We start from the raw sequence: 15,496 nt of genomic DNA on the forward strand, positions 1-15,496 counted from the left end.
TGTGAGCCACCAGCCTACAGTATATTTCTTACTGTGTTTACCATCTAGTACTTACACTTTGAGAACTATTACTGTAATCTGACAATAGATCTTCAAGTTTAAAGTGAAGCTGAAAAAACAATCTCAAAAACTGAAAACTGAAAAAATCCTATTATGTCTCCTATATGTCTCTTCACAGATAAGTAAAGGAAAGGAGGGCCCCGGAAGGAAGAGTGACTTAACTGGATCTTTCCCGTCACTAGCATGCCTGCCACTGGCACGCACCTTCCTCACTGTGGGAGAACTACCACAAGCACTTAAGTATCAAAGCTTGTCTGGACTGAACTAGAGAGGTCCTCAAGCAATAGCCAGATTAAGACAATCTGCAAATTAAAATAGTTTGAAGAAAAAAACAAAATCAAACCACTATCTTCAATTTAAATACACCATTCAAAGTAAATATACCTTTATTGAGGTCAAGTTCTTCATCCTCCTCCTCCTTCTTATGTTTCTCTTCTGTACCATCAGTCTTTTCAGTTGACACCCACTGTATTTCTCCACTTGTTTCTTGCCACTCTCCACTCTTATCATGCTGAGTGGTGGGAGCATCTTTGATCAACTCATCTGTTTTACTTTCTGCTAGCTGGGCTGCCCGCTCTCGCTCAAGGAATAGCTGATAAAAATTATTTTTGAAGATCATTAAAAAGAGATTGCCAATCAATATGCATATATGCAAATATAAAGTTATAGTTGCTTTTAAATCTATCACTAACTCTAAGATGGTTATGTGATAAAAAGAGGTGAGTATAAGTAAAAGCTTTTGCTCTACACCCTACTGAAAGCCAAAACGAAAGTATAAATGCTGCTAAGATTCAATGAAGTCATCTAATAATGATGCAAGAATGAGTCTCAATAATTTCCCTTAATTTGCATAATACAAGAAATTCAAGCAAAAAAATACAAAATTGGAAAATTCTTAAGTCAAAAGGGAATATGCTAAATTCCTTGCCTTCACTTACTTTATTTTCCCTATGCTGGTATAGTACTGACACATAGAAAAAACACTGACACAATTTGGGAAATGCTCCAAGTTACTAGAAAGAATTGCCTGAAAATCAAATGCCAAGTAGACCTCAAAGATTTGTTGAGTATACAGAAGAGTGGTATACAAACTTCAAAGAGAGATTATATAAAATAATATCTTTCAGAAAATAAAAATTAAACTTTATAGAGAGCAGCAATTCTCAAAATTGGTCTAAGAATCCCTACGGATCCTTAAGACCCTATCAGGGAGTAAAGGAGGTCAAAATTACACTCATACTACTACTAAGGGGTCTGCTGACTTGTTTCTTCTTTCACTGAGTGCACAGTGGAGTTTTGGAATCTACATGCCATGTGATTATGTCACTGCTCTAACAGCTAATGTAATGTCTCCCAGTTTCAATTTCTAATTCAGTAAATATAGACAGATAAAGCACATATAAACAACAAAAGCTCTCTGGATTTCCCAATAATTTTCAAGCCCTGAGATAAAAATGTATTAGAAGAGAATGATGGACTCCTACTTATGACTCCAGGAAGAACTGAGTTGTTGGGGGTTACAGGTTACTCTGAAGACACAACTTCAAGGATTACTGCTTTTGAAAAGGCCAAAAAAGGAAGCTAAACACAGCAAGGGCTTTGGAAAAATAAAAAGAATGAACCACTACTGTTTCTGGACATATACAAAATGCCATTTAAGGAAATACCAAAAACATCCAGGAACCTGTTAGACTGGCAAAAATCTTGGCAAGAGTATGAAAGAATGGGGACTCTTATAAAAAAAAAAAGTTTTAGGGGGAAGTATAAATTAAGGGCACAGGAAGTATGTGTTTGGTGATGAGGGTGGGAGGAGTTAGGCATATCAACTTTAAATACAGTACAATATATTCTGACACAATTCCTAAACCAGGAAATTATGCCCACAGACATACTTTGAAAAGTATGGCCTGGCCATGCAGGGTGGCTCATGCCTGTAAATCCTAGCACTTTGGGAGGCTGAGGCAGGCGGATCACTTTAGGTCAGGAGTTGGCGACTAGCCCGGCAAACACAGTGAAACCACCTCTACTAAAAATACAAAAATTAGCCAGGCGTGGTGGCGCAAGCTTGTAATCCCAGCTACTTGGGAGGCTGAGGCAGGAGAATCACTGGAACCTGGGAGTCAGGGGTTGCAGTAAGCTGAGATGGTGCCGCTGCACTCCAGCCTGGACGACAGAGCAAGACTCTGTCTCCAAAAAAATTTAAAAAAAAGAAAAGTATGGCCTAAGATTTAGATGCTATGGTATTTATTTCTGTAATTTTTGTAACAAAATAAAACTTAAAAAAACAGAAAACCATCAAAAAGTGTATCAGTAGAGGTTTGGTTAAATAAAGTACTAAGGCAGGGCATGGTGGCTCATGCCTGTGATCCTAGCACTTCAGGAGACAAAGCAGGAGGATCACTTGAGTGCAAGAGTTTGAGACCTCAGCTCTACAAATACGAAACTTAGCCAAACGTGGTGGCATGTGCCTGTAGTTCCACCTACTTGGGAGGCTGAGGTGAAAGGATCACCTGAGCCTGGGAGGTAAAGGCTGTAGTGAGCTGTGACTGGACCACTGTACTTCAGCCTGGGTAAAAGAGTGAGACCCTGTATGTATGTATGTATAAATCAAAAAGCTACTAGTTTGCAGTCATTACAAAGAATGTGATGAACCTACGTGTTGACATGAAGAGCTCAGGAAGACACATTAAGCAAAGAGTGGGTATAGACTAAATACTATGTACAGTAAGAGTCCATTTATATAAAACACATTGCACATTTTTTTATTTACTTTTCGGACAGGGTCTTATTCCCATTGCCCAGGCTGGAGTGCAGTGGCAGGATCATGGCTCACTGCAGCCTCAACTTCCTGGGCTCATGTGATTCTCCCACCTCAGCCTCCCAAATAGCTGGGACTACAGGCACATGCCACCACACCTGGCTAATTTTTTAATTTTTAGTAGAAACATAATTTTGCCATGTTGCCCAGGCCAGGCTCAAACTCCTGGGCTCAAGCAATCTGCCTGCCTCAGCCTCCCCAAGTGCTGGGATTACAGATTACAGGCATGAGCCACCATGTCTGGCCTGCACATTTATTTTGATATATGCATAAACACTAATTTCTCAGGACAAACACAAAACTATTACAAATGGTAACGTTTTAGGAAATAGATCTGTGGAGTTTAAACCTTTCTGGATCTGACTTTTTTTCCCCCACTACGTATGTGAATTATGTTTGGTTTTTAAAAAATAAACAGATCCATAAATAGGTAAGAAAAGAACAGCTAGAAAGAGGAAAGTTCATGTCAGTAATCAGAACTACCTGTAAGATTCCATTTATACAACATTATCGAAAAGATACGTAATTTGAAAATTACTGGATTCAGGCCAACGTTATCAGTAGCATAAACGATATAAATCTGAACATGGATTTTTCCACTCTATCTTTGAATAACAGAATTAAGAGCCATTTCTTGACACTTTAAGGTAACTGATGTGAGTACAAGGCAGCACAATTTTCTAAAATGAGTAACAGAACCCATCACCCAAAAGGTATTACAATTGAAAAACAAAAACTTTAAACTGATTTAAAAATGACAAACCATAAACCATAGCAGATAAAAGAAAGACAGAGAAGATATAGGATGATACCCTGAAGGACAAGAGGCTTCTATAACACTAAGTGCAAAAGAGGAATACTGGAAGTGATATTCCCAGGTCAATTAGACACAGTAGGAAAATTTGAGACTATCCCTGAAACAACTCACAAACAGGGATCTCTGAGGGTGTGGGGATGGCTTCTGCAAATGAACCCCTATTATGTGGATAATGCAGATCTATCATCTGTGCCTTCAAACACAGCTCCTGAGGCGACTGACGGTAAGTTTTTATTCATTTCTAGGTTCCATTTGAAGAAAAGTCAATTTTTAAAAGAAAGAGACTAGAATGATAGAAAAAAATAAAACAAGAGATGGAAAAAGATAGAAAACACGTTGGTGGTAGCTAGGAGACAGGGAGGGCAGGTAGGCTGTACAGTGAGCAGCAAAAGGGAATTCTTTTATGGTGACGGTTCTATATCTCAATGTAGTGGTGAGTACATGAATCTATACACGTAATAAAACTGAACAGAGGTACATATGTTACACACAAACATAAATGAATGCAGATGAAAATGGTGAAACTGAATAAGGTCTAAAGTGCAGTTAACAGTAATGTACTAATGTCAATTTCTTGGTTTTGCTATAGTACTACAGTTATATAAGATGTCACCATTTGAGGAAGTTAGGTAAAGGGTAAATGGGAGGGATTCTTTGTACTATTTTTGTAACTTCCTGTGAGTCTATAACTATTTTGAAATAAAAAGTTTAAAAACAAGTCTACTGAACAGAAAAAAAGAATACTTTTTTTAAACGTTTTTGAGACAGGGTCTCACTCTGTTGCCCAGGCTGGAGCACAGTACTGTAATCACGGCTCACGACAACTTCAAACTCCTGGGTGCAAGCAATCCTCTCACTTCAGCGTCCCGAGCAGCTGGTACTATGAGCATGCACCACCACACTCAACCAACTGTTTTATTTTTTGTACAGACAGGATCTCACTATGTTGCCCATGCTGGTCTCAAACTCCTGAGCTCAAACAATCCACCCACCTTGGCCTCCCAAAGTGCTGGGATTATAGGTGTGAGCTACCTTGCCCGGCCAAGAAATGCTTCATTTAGCAGAAAAATAAATGTTGTCAATGGGATCAAAGCGGTAGGTGCCAAACATTTTCAAATGTTTTTTGCATTAAATGAAATCTCTAAATGGTATCTGGAGACTAAAAGCAGTCTATTATCAACTATTGATAGTAAATTACTACTACCATTTACTATTACTGTTACTGATAAGTAATGATAATCTATCACTAGTTTCACATTTAATTTTGTATTTTAAATAAACTAAAACTTCAAGGCTAGTCAAAACGGAGTATTCTGAGTCTAAGAAGAAAAGCCTAGGGATTAACTACCTCTTATCTATAGTCAACATTCAATCACACATAATAGAGAACAAAAGAGGATAATAAAAAATGACTTTAAATGGCTCAAAGAAACACTCTCATTCACAATTTCCCATGCTCGGCTACTTTGCCACTTTCCAGACTGGGTAAGGGAACAGGTGACAAAGGACTTCCAGTTTTCTGTGGTCCATAAGGTCAAAGTTCTGGACACAGATCAGACGAGTAAATAAATACTAGAGGACACGAAGTGGATGTGATGGGCCTGGATTCTTGACTTTTTTTTTTTTTTAATAGAGATGGGAGCTCACTATGTTGCCCAGGCTGGTCTTGAACTCCTGGACTCAAGTGATCCTCCCCACCTCAGTCTCCCAAAGTGCTGGGATTACAGGCGTAAGCCACTGCACCCAATTTCATTAATAGAACAAATGTGCCTTTGTCTCTGCTTTTTGGTAACAATGCTTAAGGAGTGATTATAACAGTCGAAAAAAAATCAGCAAAATAAAGTAAGAATGCATTCTAAGCAGTGTACCTCTTACTGATCTACAGAGAAATTATACCACCTTTTTTTTTTTTTGGAGACAGAGTCTTGCTCTGTTGTCCAGGCTGGAGTGCAGTGACATGCCACTTCGGCTCACCGCAACTTCCACCTCCTCAGTTCAAGTGATTCTCCTGCCTCTCAGCCTCCTGAGTAGCTGGGATTACAGGTGCATGCCACCATGCCTGGCTAACTTTTGTATTTTTAGTAGAGATGAGGTTTCACCATATTGGTCAGGCTGGTCTTGAACTCCTGACCTCAAGTGATCCACTTGCCTCAGCCTCCCAAAGTGCTGGGATTATAGGCGTGAGTCACTGCGCCCAGCCTATACCACATTTTTAATTGGTTACAAATTCTGGTTTAAAATAAGCTTTCACCCTAGACGCTGTGAATATTTAAAAATTGGTCAGGTGTAAAACAGTCCCTTTCTACCCCAGCAGAGACATGCTTCAGGAGTTCTAACTAAAAAGGCCGGGGGAGGGGCAGAGAGGGCCAGCAGTGGATGGGCAAGAAAAGGAGGTAAAAGGTGCAAATGATAAAAGAAATTGGACAAATCCAACAAACTGCAGTTATGAGTTTGTTTTTAAAGTGGTTGCTTACCTGCACTAAAGCCTGGACAGCATGAACTTGTCCACCTATCCTTAAACTATCATCCCCTTCTCCACTACAGATGGAAGAATCAAAAGAGCACGATGTTTCCATGTTGACAAGACAGTGCCGATTCCGAGCACTATACTCCACTAGATTTATCAGCAGACCTAAGCCCTTCAAAAAGTTTAAAAGACACATATTATCAGAGATGAGTACTTAAAACAAATGAACACAATATACACAATTTTTAATGGCAACTAAAAAGCTGAATATCAGTGTTCTACCACCTACAAAATGGCTAAAAACCAGTATGAAAGGCCAAAAAGAAAAAAAGAAAAAAAAAAAAGAAAAAAGGCCAGGCACAGCGCTCATGCCTGTAATCCCAGCACTTTGGGAGGCCAAGGTAGGTGGATCACTTGAGGCCAGGAGCTCGAGACCAACCTGACAAACATGGGGAAACCCCATCTCTACTAAAAATACAAAAATAAGCCAGGTGTGTTGTCAGATGCCTGTAATCCCACCTAATTGGGAGGCTGAGGCAGGAGAATAGCTTGAACCCAGGAGATGGAGGTTGCAGTGAGCCGAGACTGTGCCACTGCACTCCAGCCTGGGCAAGAGAGTGAGTGAGACTCCATCTCAAAAACAAACAAAAAAAGAACAAAAAAAACAAAACAAAAAAACCACCGATTTTCCCAAAGAATCATTCCTTTTATTTTTAATTGCCAATTTTAGCTTTCGTACTTTTTATTTTTACATAGGGTCTTTTCATGGCTTTCTTTTGCACAATAAGAAGTACGTTCAGCCAGACGCAATAGCTCATACCTGTAATCCCACCACTTTGGGAGGCTGAGGCGGGCAGATCACTTGAGGCCAGGAGTTTGAAACCAGCCTTGGCAACATGGCAAAACCCCGTCTCTACTAAAAATACAAAAATTAGCCAGGCGTGGTGGCACATGCCTACAGTCCCAGCACCTGGAAGGCTGAGGCAGGAGAACTGCTTGAACCAGGGAGGCGGAGGTTGCAGTGAGCCAAGATGTTGCCACTGTAGACTCCATCTCCCAAAAAAAAAAAAAAAAAAAAAAAAAAAAAAAAAAAAAAAAAAAAAAAAAAAAAAGAAACACACACAGTAAGTTCATAAGGAAATTCATGAAAAAAAACCCACAATATATTAAAGGGTTGGTTCTTAAACCCAAACTAAGGTTAACATTTTGCACACCTTATTAGATATGATACTCATTTCTGAAAAAGTCATTTCAACTTACCAGCACTCGAATATCAAATCTCTGCTCCTGAGGTAGGTACTTTGGAACCTGAAGCACACAGTTCAGCGCTGTGCCTATGAGACCGTCCTGCTCTCCTGTTTTGGTGCTGCCCCACTCTGAAATAAGAAATGGATACAGGAAAATGGTTACTGATTCTTCCTTAGAACACTAATAATGGAGATTTATTAACATGGATATTAACTTAGAATTGTATAGTCATTCCTCTATTGAAACATACTATTGATACTTCTGGGTCAAGCTACTAGGCTTCTAAAAATATCAACTCTTAAAAGCAATTTAAACCTACACATGAGTAAGTCAAGTACATTATGACAAATAAAAAAATCACTACCCCAGGAAAAGGAGAAACAAAAATAACTTGTTTTCACATGCAATATACATCTTTCAATGAGAAAAAAATGGAAAAAAATCTTACCATTATCATTAGTTAAATTAAGCAACACCCCGATGATGGCCCTCATGCAGTCCTCCACTGCTTTGCCTACATGGTTAGTTACATTCTGGTGAGGCAGAGGCTTACTGTCAGCTAAGCATATGCTGTCCTCAGCACGGTTGTACTGCTGAATCAGTTCTTCACAATGCTGTAATGCTCTTAAAAGGAAATAAAATATAGACTATTATAGTAAATAATAATAGGTACACAGCAAATTTCTATTTACTTGAACCTAAAGGCTATCGGATGAAATTTCACTTTATTTTGGAAAAATCTGATACCTTAAAAAACTTATTCAAGGAATGTTAAAATTAAAAACTTATGGCAGAAGTTTATATCTGTACTATCTACATTTACCACTAGTAATCTCTTTATTTCCAAATTGTCTCGCATGTTATTGATCTCTCCAATATAAGAGACAGACCACAACCCTTTCTCAAACAGGGCAAATGGTTAACAGCTAATGTTGGACACTTCTGAGGTAGTAAATGTTATTACTACATAACAAATGTTAATGTAAAGACAAGTATTAAATATTTCATACGCATTAGAGCAAATCATTATTTTTATTACCTTCACTACCAACGTTGACAGTATAAATCATTATTTTTTAATTTAAGTTCATTCAAATTGACATGTCTCCTCGACAATTTTCCAAGGGGATGAGCTACATCTAAGGATTCTCGCTCTCCCTCTCCCTCTCCCTCCACAATCTCCCTCTCCCTCTCTCTCCACGGTCTCCCTCTGATGCCAAGCCGAGGCTGGACTGTACTGCCGCCATCTCGGCTCACTGCAACCTCCCTGCCTGATTCTCCTGCCTCAGCCTGCCTAGTGCCTGGGACTGCAGGCGGGCGCCGCCACACCTGACTGGTTTTTGCTGGAGTGCAGTGGCGTGATCTTGGCTCGCTACAACCTCCACCTCCCAGCCGCCTGCCTTGGCCTCCCAAAGTGCGGAGACTGCAGCCTCTGCCCAGCCGCCACCCTGTCTGGGAAGTGAGGAGCGTCTCTGCCTGGCCGCCCATCGTCTGGGATGTGAGGAGGCCCTCTGCCCGGCCGCCCAGCCTGGGAAGTGAGGAGTGCCTCTTCCCAGCCGCCATCCCGTCTGGGAAGTGACGAGCGTCTCTGCCCGGCCGCCCATCGTCTGAGATGTGGGGAGCACCTCTGCCCGGCCGCGACCCCGTCTGGGAACTGAGGAGTGTCTCTGCCCGACCGCCACCCCGTCTGGGAGGTGAGGAGCGTCTCTGCCCGGCCACCCCGTCTGAGAAGTGAGGAGCCCCTCCGCCCGGCAGCCGCCCGGTCTGGGAAGTGAGGAGCGTCTCCGCCCGGCAGCCACCCCGTCCGGGAGGTGGGGGGCAGCCCCCGCCCGGCCAGCCGCCCCGTCCGGGAGGGAGGTGGGGGGCAGCCCCCGCCCGGCAGCCGCCCCGTCCAGGAGGTGGGGGGGTGCCTCTGCCCGGCCACCCCGTCTGGGAAGTGAGGAGCCCCTCTGCCCGGCCGCCACCCCGTCTGGGAGGTGTACCCAACAGCTCACTGAGAACGGGCCATGATGACGATGGCAGTTTTGTCGAACAGAAAAGGGGGAAATGTGGGGAAAAGAAAATCAGATTGTTATTGTGTCTGTGTAGAAAGAAGTAGACATAGGAGACTCCATTTTGTTCTGTACTAAGAAAAATTCTTCTGCCTTGGGATGCTGTTAATCTGCAAACTTACCCCCAACCCCGTGCTCTCTGAAACATGTGCTGTGTCCACTCAGGGTTAAATGGATTAAGGGCAGTGCAAGATGTGCTTTGTTAAACAGATGCTTGAAGGCAGCATGCTCGTTAAGAGTCATCACCACTCCTTAATCTCAAGTACCCAGGGACACAAACACAAGGAAGGCCGCAGGGTCCTCTGCCTAGGAAAACCAGAGACCCTTGTTCACATGTTTATCTGCTGACCTTCCCTCCACTATCGTCCTATGACCCTGCCAAATCCCCCTCTCCGAGAAACACCCAAGAATGATCAATAAATACTAAAAAAAAAAAAAGAAAGAAAGAAAAAAAAAGAAAAAAAGAAAACAAATAAAAATTTGCTAGCAGGGTGAGATGGGACAGAATAAAAGATAGAGCGTAAATCTATAATTGTAAAATACTTAACAGCAGGTGGGTTGCATAAAAAATATAGCATCTAGATCAGGGACAAATGGAAAAGAAGGCGATATTACTGCATTAGGTTCCCAGAGGTGCTATACAAACAGAAACATGTTTTCTAAATGGTGAAACAGGTATTGAAATGACTCTTTATCAGAACTATGAGTCTTTTTCGCAAGAGAAATTGGATTTACTAGTTGAATGTTTTTCTCTTCCTCTGGCCACAAAGGATATTGGGGCAACTTGAGAGAGGAATCAATAATGTAGAGTCTGATGGACACTCAATGATCAGCCTCATAATCTGACTACATAAGCACAATAAAACAAAGTCAGAGTGTCTTGCAAGCTGTCACAGGGGTACTAAGCTGAGAGAAGGACCTTAGTTAAGGCAGCTAGCACTGAGAGGTTTTGTTCAAGCATTCTATCTTTCTATATTCCATTTCACGTCTACTAAATGGTGTCCAAAGTTGCAAAGGTGGTTCTACCCTAATAAGGTAATGGCAAGAAACTATTCTGTATATTGCATGATGATCAGAATAAAACCCAAAGAAATATTTGTAAGGTAAAGGACAAAATGTGTGTGTCATTAAAAACTTTATGATACCAAAAAAAAAAAAAAAGGATTCTCAAGATACTACCCAAAATAACAAGGAAATATAATCCCTAATGGGTCTAGTATTTCTAAAGACACTATTTAAATCACCAAGTCCACGATTTTTAAGTTTAATACAAATCAAGTAAGCTCACTCTGTCAGTTGATTCTTCATGCATTATATATCACACAAAATTCTTAAAGAAACCGTATCTAATCTACGCCTAGTTGCCCTTTAAAACATACTGAGGAAGTTCTGTAAAAGTTCTTAATATTTTACAACCCTTTGGTCAGGAAGGTGTTCCTCATGTCTAACCTAAAATAATTTGTTCTTCTGGTATTGAATGCTGGTCAGGATTACCATACTGTCACTGGTAACTCAACTGTTTTCAGGCTGGGCTAAACTGGGGCTTTGAAGACAAAAGGAGGTTCAGCATATGTTATTTAATCTTTCTGTATGCTATCTCCGAATTGATCATGGTTTCTGCTGAAAAGCTTAAAAACCTAGAGATAAGTGCTCTTTTACAAACACTCAATTCTGACCTCTACTGCCACTTCCAAGACATTTGGCCTGAATTTCCTAATCACAACAAAAGAGCACCTGTCATATCAAATACTTCCTCTTACAAGGTAGTTGTCAGAGGTTATGAAGTATACAAAAGAGATATTTTTAAATCAGAAACAACATACACAATTTTTCTTAATTTAAAAAAGAAAATGAAATCAGAAACATTTAACTTCAATAATCTTTGGTAAGGAAGGGTAAAAACATGGTAGCAAACAACCAGAATGCATGCGGTAAGAGCACTAAATACAGGCAATGCACAGTGGCTAATGCCTGTAATCCCAACATTTTGGGAGGTCAAGGCAGGAGAATCACTTAAGCCCACGAGTTTGAGACCAGCTGGGACAACATAGCAAGACCCTGTATCTATTAAAAAAAAAAAAAAAAAAGAGAGTGCTAAATATATATAAAATAGGCCAGGCACGGTGGCTCACATCTGTAATCCCAACACTTTGGGAGGCCAAGGCGGGTGGATCACCTGAGGTCAGGAGTTCGAGACCAGCCTGGTCAACATGGTGAAACCCCGTCTCTGCTAAAAATACAAAAATTAGCCAAGTGTGGTGGCGCACACCTGTTGTCCCAGCTATTCGGAAGGCTGAGGCAGGAGAATCATGTGAATCCAGAAGGCAGAGGTTGCAGTGAGCCGAGATCATGCCACTGTACTCCAGCCTGGGCTCAGAAAAAAAAATAAAATAAAATAAAGAAAAATAAAATATACAAATGCAAGATACAAAACGTACAAATCCAAGACAAAAAAAGGAGATTTTAAAAACCTACAGATTAAGAAAATCTACTGAGACTAGAAATTTGAGACTACTGAAAATTAGAATATTGACTAAACATAAAATATTAAGCAACTAATAATGTGTGGCATGAAAATGGCACTGGGGTTATATTTTTTAAAAGAGTCCTTTTCTTCTAGGCATTATGTACTTAAGTATTTATGGACGAAATAATATCTGGATCTGTTTCAAATAATACAGGAGAGGGAATGGATGAGGTTACAGATGGAAACCAGACTGGCCATGATTGATAATGTGTACATTACAGTTTATTACACTATTTATATTTGAATTCCTCCAAAATAAGAGGTTAAAAAACAGATAAACTAGAGTAAGACTGCAATGGGCCTTTGATAAGGCTGACTTCAATAAGAAAGTTGTACATATATCCAAAGACAATAAGGAATCAGAGATTTGAGAAATTAAAATTATTTTTTCAAAGCAGCGATTTGGAGAAAGTTAACTCCATGTGGTATTGTTCTGGATAGGCTAAAGGCCAGAGAACTAGGGCAGATATCAAGAACTAGGACAGAGATATCAGGAAGAGGTTGCTGTAATAAGACAGAACCAGGACTGGAGACATACTTGGGAATTTTACCTGCAAGGAGGTGACAGCATTAGCCTAATTGTGATGAAATGTGGGAAGAAATAAATGTGGAATGGAAGAAGCTACATACAGATATAGAAAAACAGGTCTAAATAAAGTGCAGAAGAACAGAGAAAAGTCCATTTAAAACAAGAATGAGGAAAAATGCTTAGTATTTACTATACGCCAAGTACTGTTCTAGGCTTTGCACATTAACTAATTTAACTCATTAATATGTATCACAAATGATACAAAAGATACTTTAAAAATCATTTAAATTTAAATTTTTTATATGTATTTTTAATATACACATATTTTTAAATATCTACTATGTATATATTTCTTACAAACATACAAATTAACTCATTTTACTGTAATAAAAATCCTAGGTGGGTTAGCCACTATTATTATCCCCCTTGTAAAGAGCTTGATTTGTACATTACAAAAGTTATACAGCTGAAATTATCAAGCTGGAATCCACACTGTCATTTTGTGTCCAAAATCTGTACTCTTAAAACTTTTGTTACACAATGTGAACCAATTCACAGAACTCAACAGAGCATTTCATGGAGGAAGCTAATCCAAATTTCTTTCATTTATGGTCAATCCAAATGTTTAAAATAAGTAACAATGTTAGTTGTTAACTAATAAACAAAAAACTTACTTAGCTGATGAAACAATAAGTTGGGAATCTTTATATGCTATCAAGTAGCTTTGATTTTCGGGATTATGCACAGTTACCTAAAAAGGAAGAATATGAAATAATTGTGGCAATCCAAAACTTTCATTCATTCATGTAACACCACATTCTGCCTGGTGCGTAAAAGATACAAAGATGAGGAAGAAACAGCCCTTGTTACCAAAGGGAATAATTTCACAACCTACAGGTTCCAGGTGTAAAATAAGAAAGCTAATGCTTTATGAAAAAATTAAGACATCACTGTTATATTCATTCATAATTAACATATTCTACACTACATATTCACTGTAACGAATTGCCAAACACACTGAATGTCAGAATAGAGCAGTCCTCAACTTACAAATAACGTAAAGTTCATAAGTAGATTCATTTAGAACACATTTTTACAAAGAAGTATCTGTTATCTACTGTGCCCAAAGCACTCTAGAAGACACATGGAACGCTACAATTTAATCTATGCCAGGAGCTTTTAATTTATACTATACTACTTTTAAAATAACCTGGTGAACAAACCTATGCATCCTGAAATTAGCTGGCAGTATAAATTCTAATCTATACGGAACTGGGTTAAGTCTTTCGTAAGAGTCAAAGAACAAAATATACTCGCTGCAGTTCAACAGTATCATTCTCCAAAGCCAAATATTATGACAGGCCATGCCTATAAACAATCTGACTCAAATAAAAGTCAAATAAACAAAATGCTAATAACAATTTAAAAATAAAACCTGATTGCATTTCACTATTGTTATCTACAAACAATGTAGTCAAGTAGAAATTCACATTAAGGAAAAAACAATAAAGATTGGAGGGGCCCAGCAAAGTGTAACGCCTGTAATCCCAATACTTTGGGAGGCTGAAGCCGGCAGGCCACTTGAAACTAGGAGTTTGAGACCAGCCTGGCCAACATGGCAAAACCCCGACTCTACTAAAAATACAAAAATCAGAAGGGCATGATGGCACATGCCTATAATCCCAGCTACTCAAGAGGCTGAGGCATGAAATTGCTTGAACCCGGGAAGCAGAGGTTGCAGTGAGCTAAGATCATGTCACTGCACTGTAGCCTGGGTGACAGAGTGAGACTCTGGCTCAAAAAATAATAATAAAAATAATAAAATCTTTAAAAAAGATTGGCATATGTAAACAAACAAGCCTAACATTTCATTTGCAGCAATAATACATGTACTCTTAAAATATAAAACTACTCATTTAGCTTGTTTATTAACAACTGGTTGCTCAAAAAATGTACTGCTATTTCTATCTGGATTAACAGAAGTGAACCTCCAGGGGTATATAAAATATTTGGCAGTCTCTCTCTTACACACACAATCACAATTAAGACTGAATAATTTTTGCCAAATAGTCATCCATACTTACACTTTCTAAAACTCGTAAACATCTCTCTGCTCCCCATAGTGAGGCTACCAGTTTCTCTTCATCCTCATCTCTACTTAAATGATCCACACATTCTTTTACTAGGTGAAAAGAAACAAACGTAAGTTAGTATTTATCATCGATACTTACCAATAGAATACTTTTAGCTAACATTAGAAGCCATCTGTACACACGCTATGAACATGCTGGAACCTCTCTGAACATTTTTTATTCTAGGTTTCATACTGTGAGATTTTGAAATGCATACTCTGTAATTATTTTGTTTCCATAATCCCCCAATATCAAAATGTTAATGGCCTCTTCTTTTTTTTTTTGAGATGGAGTTTCGCTCTTGTTGCCCAGGCTGGAGTGCAATGGCACAATCTCGGCTCACTGCAACCTCCACCTCCCACATTCAAGCAATTCTCCTGCCTCAGCCTCCCAAGTAGCTGGGATTACAAGCATGCACCACCACGCCTGGCTAGTTTTGTATTTTTAGTAGAGACGGGGTTTCTCCATGTTGGTCAGGCTGGTCTCAAACTCCCGACCTCAGGTGATCCGCCCGCCTTGGCCTCCCAAAGTGCTGGGATTACAGGCATGAGCCACCGTGCCCGGCCGGCCTCTTCTTTAAATGTTAGAAATTTGCAGGATGCAACTAAAAAATAATAATGATAATAGACATTTCCAAACTGATACAATTATTTTTTGAAGTACGTCAATGGAGTATTTTCTTCAGGCTTTAAATAATATATAAAAACATTCTAAATGTAAATATCATACCTTTATCTACAATATGATCCAGACCACCCAAAAGCCGGAGTTCTTCTTTAAACCAGTCTCCTGCTCGTTTAGAAGTAAGGGATAATAATGTCTCCATAGCTAAATGCCCAGTCTAAAA

General features: G+C 39.5%; 1 protein-coding gene across 2 annotated transcripts in view; it reads right to left on the bottom strand.

The window, feature by feature from the left end:
- The window catches only part of WAPL (WAPL cohesin release factor), an 86,537-nt gene that overhangs the window by 10,542 nt on the left and 60,499 nt on the right, over positions 1-15,496 (bottom strand). For both annotated transcript variants that reach the window (NM_001318328.2, NM_015045.5), the window contains exons 10-16: positions 15,379-15,490; positions 14,602-14,699; positions 13,192-13,268; positions 7,859-8,034; positions 7,423-7,538; positions 6,170-6,334; positions 445-652 (exon numbers count right to left, since the gene is read on the bottom strand). In NM_001318328.2, the coding sequence (NP_001305257.1) occupies positions 445-652; positions 6,170-6,334; positions 7,423-7,538; positions 7,859-8,034; positions 13,192-13,268; positions 14,602-14,699; positions 15,379-15,490 (952 nt within the window). The remainder of the gene's footprint in view (positions 1-444; positions 653-6,169; positions 6,335-7,422; positions 7,539-7,858; positions 8,035-13,191; positions 13,269-14,601; positions 14,700-15,378; positions 15,491-15,496) is intronic.

The sequence above is a fragment of the Homo sapiens genome, chromosome 10, assembly GCF_000001405.40.
Source record: "Homo sapiens chromosome 10, GRCh38.p14 Primary Assembly".
NCBI classification, from domain to species: Eukaryota; Metazoa; Chordata; class Mammalia; order Primates; family Hominidae; genus Homo; species Homo sapiens.